Source organism: Homo sapiens, chromosome 11, assembly GCF_000001405.40.
Source record: "Homo sapiens chromosome 11, GRCh38.p14 Primary Assembly".
NCBI lineage: Eukaryota > Metazoa > Chordata > Mammalia > Primates > Hominidae > Homo > Homo sapiens.
In genome coordinates, this window is record NC_000011.10 from 71642261 (window position 1) to 71653874 (window position 11614).

Below are 11614 nucleotides of genomic sequence, written 5' to 3' on the forward strand. Positions count from 1 at the left end.
GCCATGTCTGAGTGGATCAAGAAGAACAGAGTGCACTTTTATGAGATTTTGTCTGCGTAGACCATTAGCTTGGTAAAAATGTCAAAACCATCCTCGTTCTTTAATAGCAGATTATTTTGGACTTTTCTCTGCAAGAAGCAGCATGGGCATTCAGATGTTTTTAAGGATAAAATGTTCTTTCTCATCACCAGGCCTGGTGCTCTGGATGGCTGAGGTTTTAATGTGACTGGATGTCCCTTGGAGTGGCTCCCAGGCTGTGCTTCTGTGGTTGGGTGGCAAGGGGTTGCTTTATTTGGTGGTGGCTAGAGGATGTTTTAGCAGGTTAATCGGGCCCCCAGGAGCCCCTGAGTGGCAAGTCCTGCTGCAGGGCATGTGTTTATGGTGGGGAGGTGGGGGGGGGGGTGGAGGGTGGAGCGTGGGGGGCGTTGATTTCCTGCCAATATCAGAGGTTTCACAGGCTTCTTGTGTATCCACAAACACCCACCCCATTGAGAAGGCCTAGAAAACCTGGCCCTCCCCAAACCTTTATTGACCGCTTGTGAATGATCCCAGGGTGTGTCTGACCCACAGCTCCTCCTGGAGGGAAAGAAAAGTCTCTCCTTAGGTATTTGGTTATCAACCTCAACCACTTGCTGAGCCTTCCTCAAGACCAGGCACCTCGGCAGAGATTTCAGGGTTGTCAGGCGGAACCAAGCATTCAAGGGTAATAACTCGTTGGGGTCCCTGAAATCCCTGATGAACACACCAGGTGAAAGCATCCAGGGTTGAAACCAGATGAGGAATGTTATTGTCAGCCTGGGGCTCCTGCAGAGGTGCATCCGTGTTGCAGGTATTTTCCTTCTTGCTGAGGAGAAACCTGGGTGTCTCAGCTTTGGCACAGTCACAACATTTGGGGTGAGACCATTCGTGGTGCTGGTGGTGGGGCCGTCCTGTGTACTGTAGGATGGTTAGCAGCATCTCTGGTCTCCATCCTCTAGGTGCCACTCTACCCTCCCAGCTATGGCTACCCCAGATGTCTCCAGACGGTTTCAAATATCATGGAGCAAGGGAGTGGTATGTGAGCAAAACCACCCCAGTTGAGAGCCATTGGTCTACACTTGTGGAAATGTTTGAGGGTGAGAGTGTCGAGCTTGGGTCTCTGCTGTACCCTTTATGAGCAATGCGGTCTTGGAAAATTAATACTACTCCAGGGGCCTCAGTTTTCTCATCTATAAAATGGAGATAAATGAGATACACTTTCATAGGAAGGTTATATGGGATTTACTGAGATAATAAGACAGTACATGGAAAATGCTGGGCATAGCATTTATTTATTTTTATGTTTTTTAAAGATGGAGTCTTACTCTGTTGCCCAGGCTGGAGTGCAGTGGCATGATCTCTGCTCACTGCAACCTCCACTTCCTGGGCTCAAGTGATTCTCCTGCCTCAGCCTCCCGAGTAGGTGGGATTACAGGTGCCCACCACCACACCTGGCTAATTTTTGTATTTTTAGTAGAGATGGGGTTTCACCATGTTGGCCAGGCTGGTCTCAAACTCCTGACCTAAGGTAATCCGCCTGCCTCGGCCTCCCAAGGTGCTGAGATCACAGGTGTGAGCCACCACGCTGGGCTGGGCATAGCATTGTAACACAGACAAAGCACAAAATACTTGGGCAATATCTTTTTACGTTTGGTTTGTCTAGACTCCATCCTCCATCCCCTCATGCACTGGTGCGGTGCAGACCAGAATATCACCCACCTAGACTGCAGAGTGGATTTGGGTTGCATCTAGGCTTTCTGCACAAGACTTGCCTGTTCCCCACCACATCCCCCTGGTTCTCAGGGTCCAGGATTCCAGGAAGCAGGGATGTGGGCAGGCAGGGTAGGTTGCCCACCCAGTTCACTCCCACGCTGGGGATCTGCAGAGCTGGCTGTCCGAGACAGGGTGTTTGGACCAACATCTGGGTTTCTGGATTTCCATTTGAGCACAGCTGGACTACACAGGCTGAAGCTCTCTCTGCCGAGATATAGATATTTCCCTGGTGACGATCTTTCAAGCTGACATGAAGACAGGGCCACCCACAGGAACGTCGTGTGTCTGCCATGGCGCTCTTGTAATTTGTGAGGCAGGCTCCTGAGGAATGCAGTGCATAAGTGGGAAATGGTGGGAAGTTCTCGGATCCCCCCCGGCCGAAAGTGCTGCCTGTGCAGGTTGGTGGATGGTCCTTTGAGCAGGAAGAAGACATGAAGCACATTCCTGTTAGCTACGACAGAGAGGGGCAGGGTACACACTGGACATTTCAAGCCCCTCCAGAGAAGCAAGTCTTACTGTGCTGGGAGTACTTGTGGAGTGCGGGCTGTGTTGCCCTGGGCTTTAATTATTTCAGGAACATTTAACCGCAGGGTTGGCAGGCCGGATCTTGATATGTGTTTCTCAGTTGGAAAGACTTTGGACCATAGGGAAATGTCTTCTCAATTCTTTTAATTTCATTAAGGTTGTCATTTTTCTTCTTGTGGCCTCTGGAATGTGACACAGAACTCAAAGGACAGGAAGGAGATGAGTTGGAGGCTGGGACAGGGGTCCCTGCCAGGGATGCTGGTGACTCACATGACGGTGTTGATGTGTGGAGTCCGGTGCCTGGTTTGGGGAATGTTCGTGGGATATGTTCCAAAGGACTGACGGACCAATCAGGTACTGGAGGTGAATGGTCAAGTCTGATCTCAGGGCTGACAGTGTCAGGCAAGGACAGGAAGTTGACGTTGGACTCATTGGCTGAGGTTGCTTGGGACCCAGGGGGCAACGTGTGCCAGGACAGATGGGTCTGGAGCTAGGAAGGCAGGTTTGGGCTGGAGACTCGGGCTTGGGAGGCATCCCAGGTAGACAGTGGTTGAGGCTGTGGAAATGACCGTGATTGCCTGGGATGAGAGTGGAGACGGACAAGATGGGGGTTTTGCTCTAAGCCTGGGGAACCCACTTCCCAGGTTCAAGGGATTCTCCTGCCTCAGCCTCCCAAGTAGCTGGGAATGCAGGGGCGCGCCACCATGCCCGACTAACTTTTGTATTTTTAGTGGAGATGAGGTTTGGCCAGGCTGCTTTCAAACTCCTGACCTCAAGTGATCGGCCCACCTTGGCCTCCCAAAGTGCTGGGATTACAGGCATGAGCCACCATGCCTGACTATTTTTAAATATTAATTTTTATGAAATATTTTCAAACACATTTTACTGTACATTGGAAAAGTCAATCATGATTTGAAAACTTTATCAAAATCCAATCAAATGTCAATTAACCATTTAATTGTGGATGACTAAGGAGACTATTTTGACCAAAACATGTTAGAACAATTACCACTTATAGAAATAATCTGTTTTAATGTTTTAGTTGAATTAAACAATCTTTTATATTCTGTCCAGGCGCAGTGGCTCACACCTGTAATCCCAGCACTTTGGCAGGTCGAGGCTGGTGGATCACCTAAGGTCAGGAGTTCGAGACCAGCCTGGACAACATGGCGGAACTATCTCTACTGAAAATACAGAAATTAGCCAGGTGTGATGGCACACACCTGTAATCCCATCTGCTTGGGAGGCTGAGGCAGGAGAATCATTTGAACCTGAGAGACAGAGGTTGCAGTCAGCCGAGATCGCACCACTGCACTTCAGCCAGCCTGGGTGACAGAGCGAGACTCTATTTCAAAAATAAATAAATTAATTAAATAGAATTTTGAATTTTATTTTTAATAATTATTTTGTAAAAATGTCTTGTTTTTTGGAGTTGTTGAATTTATTGAATTGACAAAAAATATGTACAAGAGGGTACAACATGATGTGACTGAAGTATGTATACATTACAAAATGGCTAAATCAAGCTAAATAACATATCACCTCCCAGACTTATTTTTTTTATGGTGAGAACACTTAAAAAATCTACTCTCTTAGTGATTTCCAAGTGTATGATATGTTGTTATTAACTATAGGTACCATGTTGTCCCATGGATATCCTGAACTTATTCTTCCTCTCTAAAAATGACATTCTGTGTCCTTTGGCATCTGCCCACTTCCCCACCCTGGCAACCATCATTCTACTCTGCTTCTGTGAATTCAACTTTTTTCTTTTCTTTTTCATTCGTTTTTTTTGAGACACTCTCATTTTGTTGCCCAGGCTGTAGTGCAGGGGTGTGATCTTGGCTCACTCCAGCCTTGACTTCCCAAGCTCAATCAATCCTCCCACCTCGGCCTCCTGAGTATCTGGGAGTACAGGCATGCACCACCACACTCCACTAATTTTTGTATTTTTTTGTAGAGATGAGGTCTTGCTGTGTTATGTAGGCTGGTCTCGAACTCCTGGGCTCAAGCAATCTGCCGGCCTCAGCCTCCCAAAGTGCTGGGATTACAGGCATGAGCCACCATGCCTGACTGAGTTCAACTTTTTTAGATTTCACATATAAGTGAGATCATGTGGTATTTGTCGTTTTGTGCCTGGCTTATTTCACTTAACATAATATCCTCCAGGCTCATCCATGTTGTCTCAAATGGCAGGATTTTCTTCTTTTTGAAGGCTGAATAGTATTCCATTGTGTACGTACACTACATTGTTGCTGGAAGTGTAATGGAGGCCAGTTGGAGGAGGAGGGGGAAAAGATTCACTCTAAGTCTAGATGCTCCAGCACCTACCCAGGATGTGTGCAAGGAAGTGCAGGATGCCCTTGGTATTGCAAACTGTGGTTTGTGGGACTCCAAAGTCCCTATTCTTCCACAGTGCTTTCTGTCCTGTTATCACATTTCCTTGGAGGAGAACCCAGCCTTGGTAGAGAGCGCTGCTCTGGCTTTGTCCCTCGGCATGAGATGGCAAAGGATGGTGCTGCTGGGAGACCCTCAAGTCTGCGCACTGGGGGCTGCTTGCCTTCTCCATTCCTCCTTCAAGTATCTGAGCAGCTCCTGTGTGCCAGCTGCTGGTCTACGAGATGGATGGGTCCTTGGAGATCACGCTGTAGCAGAGGAGGCAGGCTGTAGCCCACACACCACAACGAGCCCCCTGTCTTCACACAAATAAAGTTTTATTGGAACACAGTCACACCCATTTCAGTGCATATTGTCTGTGGCTGCTTTCCTGCTACAATGGAGAGTTGAATAGTTGGGACAGAGACCTATGGCCTGCAAAGCTGAACTATTTACCATCTGGCTCTCAAGAAAAGGGAAAAAAAAAATGCTTATCTTAGTACCCCGACAGTCTTAGATTAAGAGGACTTTGTACCACCCTGACGTCCCAGGCGGCCATGAGTCCAGCCACCCCTGAAATGTACAGAAGTCTGGGCTAGGGTTGCAGCAGGTGAGTCCCAGTTTTGCAGGTCTTTGGCATCAGGGGCACAACCCAGGATTTTGAGTGGGGTTTCCTCACCACTGTGGCTGGGCACTGGGCTAGTGTGCTTTCTGATTTTTGTATGGGGAAGAGAAAGGAGGGAGGAAATGGCAACTTGTTGCCCTGTTCTAACATTTTCCTAAGATGGGTCTCCAGGCAAGGGCTTGGGATCTCACCTTGCACAGCTTACAAAACCCAGTGAAGCCAGCTGTCTTGGCGCTGCCACTCTGAGGGATGGAGCCCCCAAATTACTAGGAAGGGAGATAAAAGAATGGTTTTTGCAAGCACAAGTGGCGTTATTGAAATTAACATTTCCCCCAAGTTTTATAATGTCTAGGCATGCATTTTTAAGTGTCTGTCTAAAAAGCTCTTGCTAATAACCAGATGGCGCATTTAATTTCCTTTTTTTGTTCTCTGAGCAACATGCAGCTTCCTGCACAGCCCTTCTTGCAGGCAACTGCTCTAAGGTGACAGTCCTCCTGACTGCCAGCACAGATCCCCAGGGCCTCTGAGGGCCCTGTATTCTGGGGGCAGCCTTTCCCTCTTCTATTTGGCCCCAGCTGGAAGGGGGCAGGTTACCCACAGCCCAGCACAGGGCTCCTGCCTTAACTTCTCTAGGGAGTCTGGCTCCCTCTGACCCTCTAGACCTCACCAGCTGAGGATCAGAGCCCTGGGGCAGGAGCCAGGGCCGGGAGCATTGGGGGGTGGTTTGAGAGTGCAGCTCTGGAGGGGGGCAGGGTGGGCCCAGGAAAAGCTGCTCAGGGGAGACTGCAAAGAGATGGCAGAGTTAGGACAAGAGGTCCAGGCATGGTGGCTCACACCTGTAATCCCAGCACTTTGAGACGCCGAGGTGGGCGGATCGCCTGAGGCCAGGAGTTTGAGAGTAGCCCGGCCAACATGGTGAAAACCTGTCTCTACTAAAAATACAATAATTAGCCGGATATGGTGACACCTATAATACCAGCTACTCGGGAAGCTGAGCCACGAGAATTGCTTGAACCCAGAAGGTGGTGGTTGCAGTGAGCTGAGATTGTGCCACTGTACTCCAGCCTGGGCAACAGAGCAAGATTCCATCTCAAAAAAAAAAAAAAAAAGGACAGGAGGAGGAGAGAAGAGAAGGGAGCTGTGGGGCAGCAGCCAGGACCCTAAAGGCACAGAGGAGGAAGCTTGGATTTCCAATTCCAAAGGACATGAAGTCAACACACCTTTATTTAACCTGCTCCAGGTGAGGCTGGGCTTTGTGTATTTTCCTTGTTTTCCTTTTCCTTGTCTTCAGGCTGTTGTAGAAACAGGTACACAGGGGCTCTGTGTGGTGCCCTGTTCTGGTGGCCTTCAGGAAGCATGGGGTGCCCTGGTTTCCTTGGCTTCATGTCCCCCTTTCCTCCTGCCACCCCTGACTGGGCCCCCCACCTTATCCCTCAAACCATCCTCCTGGAGGGGATTGGCCAGGGCTTGTGTCCTTGCTAGTCTCTAGGAAGGAAGACTTTGTGGCTTGAAAGCTTGTCGGCTTAAGTTGCAAGGTGTAGGTGCCTGGGAGGGCATGTGCAGGGCCCTCTTGACTGATCCATTCATGTTTTTCTTTTTTGACTCTGTTCTATGTTGTCCTGATGTAGGGGTAAGCCCCTGCCTTTTGCCTTTCCTGCCTTGGACTCTTGCAGTAGGACCAGATGAGAGGGTCCATGTGGTCTGAGAATTCAAGCAATGCAGGCCACGCATGGTGGCTCACACCTGTAATCCCAGCACTTTTGGAGGCTAAGGCAGGTGGGTCAGGAGTTAGAGACCAGCTTGGCCAAAATAGTGAAACCCTGTCTCTACAAAAAATACAAAAGTTAGCCGGGCTTGGTGGTGCACACCTGTAATCCTTGTTATTTGGGAGGCTGAGGCAAGAGAATCACTGGAACCCAGAAGCAGCAGGTTGCAGTGAGGAGGAGGTTGCAGTGAGGAGGAGGTTGCAGTGAGCCGAGATTGTGTCGCTGGACTCCAGACTGGGCAATAGAGCGAGACTATGTTTCCAAAAAAAAAAAAAAATTATATAAAAACAAAAAACAAAACATCCTCTTGATTTGCTTTTCTTGATCTTGCTTCTCAGAGGTAACACTGGGAAGGGTTGAGGTATACCTCTCCACAACTTTTTCTTTGATTCCTTTTTATTTTTTATTCTACGTTCTGAGATACATGTGCTGAATGTGCAGGTGTGTTACATAGGTATACATGTGCCATGGTGGTTTACTGCAGCTATCAACCCGTCATCTAGGTTTTAAGCCCCGCATGCATTAGGTATTTGTCCTAACGCTCTCCCCTCCCTTGTCCCTCACCCCCGACGGGTCCCGGTGTGTGATGTTACCCTCCCTGTGTCCATGTGTTCTCATTTTTCAACTCCCACTTATGAGTGAGAACCCGCAGGTTTGGTTTTCTGTTCCTGTCCACACCTTTTTCCTCTGTGCACGCAAGCACCTGTATTCACACATAAGTGTTTATTGTAACCTTTTTTAAAAAGTAAAAATGGAATAATGCTATATTTATTCTTTGGAAAGCCTGCTTTTCAGGCAGCATGTCTTTGACATTGTCTCACATTGGAACCTGGGTACCACCTTCTTCTCCCAGCAGTTATTCTGACGTGTGGATGCACCACGCTTCGTTTAACCAGCCCTGCACCGATACGTCTTTAGATGGTTTCTGCCTTTTCCCAATCACAGACGGTGTTCTGATGAATTTACTCACACACATCACTTGGTGCTCTGTGCCTGTATTTCTGTGAGATGTTCCTGGAGGTGGGCTGTCTAGGTCAGAGGGGGATCTGTGCTTAATTTGCATCCTGTGCAAAATTCCATCCAGTCATCCAGCTCCCCAAGGGCTCACATGGTACTGTCCTCTGTAGACATCATCTTCTGCAGATGATGGCATGATCGCCTCTCTTTCTTTTACTCACACCAGTCTGCACCCTGGTGTCCTGGGGGGTCCAGCCCCTACCTGCTTGTCTGCCCACCACAGTCCCCCCAGCCCCTGCTAACAGGGACCCTGGCTTCTGAGCTCTGGCAGACTGCCTCACTCTGGAGAAGTTTGCTTTCTCAAACATTCCTGGCAATGTTACTGCAAATCTTGAGGCCTGCATTTGCCTTCTTCAGGCCTCAGTTTCCTCAAAAGTAAAATGGGGATAGTGTGATGCTACTGTCTGCATCCTAGAGCTGCCACGAGGGTTCAGTGAGATCACTGTTGAGAGCACGTTCACAGCGCCGGCCTTGTGCGCAGTCAGCACCCGTGGGGCAGGGCTGTTGCTGATACGTGGTTGACTGTCATTGCTAGACTGTGGCTTTACCAGGGGCATTGTCTTTAGTGCCGAGCCCAGAGCCACCCCTAGTACCTGCTGTGTTTATAGAGTGATTGAGTGTCAGGGTCAGAGACTGGGGCAATGGCAGCAGAAACAGAGGAAAGAAGTGGGGCTTCTAATAGGTCCTGAGCCAGTAGCCTTTGAGATGAAGCCTTCTTGCCAAGGTCTGGGGCTGTGCTGTGTGTTCTAGGCCCGAGACTGGAAGCTAGGCCTGGCTGCAGCCCCGACTGAGCTGGGGAAGTGCAGGTCAGCATCCTGCTTCATTAGGACATCTCCAAGCCCAGCTTAGACGTGGATGCCAGGTGACCCTCTGTTTACTCTGAGCCCAGACAGAGGACAGGGAAGTGTGCAAGTGTGGGGACCCTCATCACAGCCCTTGACTCTGTAAGGCATATGGGTTTGTGCACGTGTGTGAGCACGGCCATGGCTTCTCTGTGAGTTTCAAACTCGGGGTTGTGTTTATGCAGGGTTAGGCTTGCCAGGTAAAATACAGGAAGTCCAATTAAACCTGAGTTTCTCATTAACCTTTTTTTTTTTTTTTTTTTTTGGTGCAAATATATCCCATGCAATATTTGGGACCTGCTTACCCTAAAAAAATGATTTGTTGTTTATCTGAAATTCAAGTTTAACTGGCATCCTGTCTTTTCACTTGCTACGTATGAGAGTTCCGTGTGGGGGTTATCAGTGTGCATTTGTGAGTTCCCATGTAAAGGACTGTCTCCAAGTGTCTATAGGTGCCAGGATGGAGATGGACAGAGAAGATCCTCTCGGGCTGCTTTAGTGGCACCTAGAGGCTGCGGGGTTGGACACTTCAGCCCCAGGGGCCTAGGCAGCACTGTCCAGCACCTGTGTGCTCCTGTCTTCTTCATGGGGGCTGACTTCCCTGCCATCTCTCTCCAAATACAGTGGCAAGAGCTATCCCATCCGCCCCCATCTGGAGCTCGGCTGCCCAGCCAGACAAGATGGCAAACAGTGTGCAGATGGCTGCAAAGCTTTCCCCAGCTCCTTCTGCAAGGGGCCTGCAGATGAAATGGAAGCCCTCATCCTCACCACCTCCCCCTTCCAGAAAACCCAGGCAACAGCCACCTCTGAATGCTGCTTTAGAAGCTTCTCCCTCCTGGTGATTAAACCACCCCAAACAAATAAGGCACTGCATTTCCACCATAGGCTTGTTCACATGCGCGCAGCCAATTGTCTTGGATCCGCCTGTGTGCCTGATTCATCAGGGTGAGGGGTTCTCCTCTGAGGTGCTTGCAAAGAGCTGCTTGCAAAGAGTTGCCTAATTTTCATCTGAAAGACTCTCTGTAGAAACCAGGCCCAGCTTTGGAAGAAAGCCTTTTCTCCCCCTTTAGCAAATTCTGTGTCATTCTTTTTTCTTTCTTTCTTTTTTGACACGGAGTTTCACTTTTGCTGCCCAGGCTGGAGTGCAATGGTGCAATCTTGGTTCACTGCAGTCTCTGTCTCCCAGGTTCAAGCGATTCTCCTGCCTCAGCCTCCTGAGTAGCTGGGACTACAGGCACCCACAACCATACCTGGCTAATTTTTTTGTATTTTTAGAAGAGAGGGAGTTTCACCATGTTGGCCAGGCTGGTCTGGAACTCCTGACCTCAGGTGATCCACCTCGGCCTCCCAAAGTGCTGGGATTACAGGCGTGAGCCACCTTGTCTGGCTGGAATTCTGTGTCATTCTGGATACTTATCATGACTTCAAGCATCTAGGACTCTGTCCTGGGTATCCTGAGCCTGAGGGTGTACGTGTGTCCAGCTGGCTTGGAGGTTGTCTACAGGCAGGTTGAACTTGGTCTCTGAGTCCGTGGCAGCCTCACATGGGAAATACCACCAAGGAGCCTCATCGTGTGCTTTTAGGAGATAGTTTCTATTTAGTCATTGCTGGATCTGTTACAGACAGGGTCTGTATTTCTTGCAAGTCCTGTATGAGGTCGGTGCTGTGATTATCCACATGTTCACTTGTTCTCCCTGGCCTCTTTCAGGCTCTTGCACTTCCTTTGCTCTTTTCCTGCCGCAGGGCCTTTGCATATCCTGCTCTTTCTACCTGGAAAGATTTTCCCTCTCCCTGCCTCTTCACCTGGTCACTGTCTCATCTGACAGTGGAGTCACTACATCCTCAGGGATGCCTGGCCACACTGACTCAGTCACAGCAACCCCCTGTTATCTGCTTTCATGACACCAGGTGCCTCTCTGTGGTAGACACTAGCTCAGCTACGGCTTCCTGTTTCTGTGCATGTCATCCTTCCCCTTCAAGACTGTGGTCACCGTGAGGGCCAGAGCCATGCCTGTTCCTGATTCTCATTTGTGTCTCTGGTGTTTTGTATATGCTTACCTAGAATTTGATTAATGAATGACGGCATACCCATTTTACAGATGAGAAAGTTGAGGCTCAAGAACATTGTGTAACTTGCTTGGTATTAGATAGTGATGGTTTGAAGCGATCTGGCTGGTCGCTGGGTGCACACTCTTAACCACTTCACTATGGTTCTTCTCTCATGGTAGCTCTCCAACAGCAGGAGTGAGAGACAACTTTAGGACAGGTGTAACCAGAATCCCAGGGGTTATCCTAGAAGGTGGTGTCAAGAACATGCTTGCCTATGGGCCTTCTTACTGTATTGCATAAAATATTCAGTTTTTCTGACTCGCCTTACTAAAGACCTTAGCAATATTTGAAGCACAGTTGTCTGTAGGAAAGGGTGGGTGTTTATACTTTTTTAAAACGGAGTCTATATCATATTTATCTTGTGGTCTGCCATGCCCCCCGCTCTTCTTCAGCTTCAGTTATGCAAAATTCACACTTCTCCTCTTGACTGCCTCTCTCTTACCTGTTCAGTTTCTTTTCTGTGTTCGAGATTGCTTAGAATTTTTCCCCACTACTACAGCCTGCTTCCCACCTGTATCCCCCAGCCAGCTTGTTCTGGATTTTGTCAACAAGAGTTCCAGCGT

General features: G+C 48.9%; 2 annotated features.

Annotated features, from left to right (window-relative positions):
- Nucleotides 8227-9160: an enhancer, noted in NCBI's record as "H3K27ac-H3K4me1 hESC enhancer chr11:71361533-71362466 (GRCh37/hg19 assembly coordinates)". NCBI's record gives its function as "activates a minimal SCP1, AML or CMV promoter by ChIP-STARR-seq in naive and primed H9 embryonic stem cells {active_cell/tissue: H9 hESC(naive and primed)}" and the evidence as "EXISTENCE:reporter gene assay evidence [ECO:0000049][PMID:30033119]".
- Nucleotides 9161-10094: an enhancer, noted in NCBI's record as "H3K27ac-H3K4me1 hESC enhancer chr11:71362467-71363400 (GRCh37/hg19 assembly coordinates)". NCBI's record gives its function as "activates a minimal SCP1, AML or CMV promoter by ChIP-STARR-seq in naive H9 embryonic stem cells {active_cell/tissue: H9 hESC(naive)}" and the evidence as "EXISTENCE:reporter gene assay evidence [ECO:0000049][PMID:30033119]".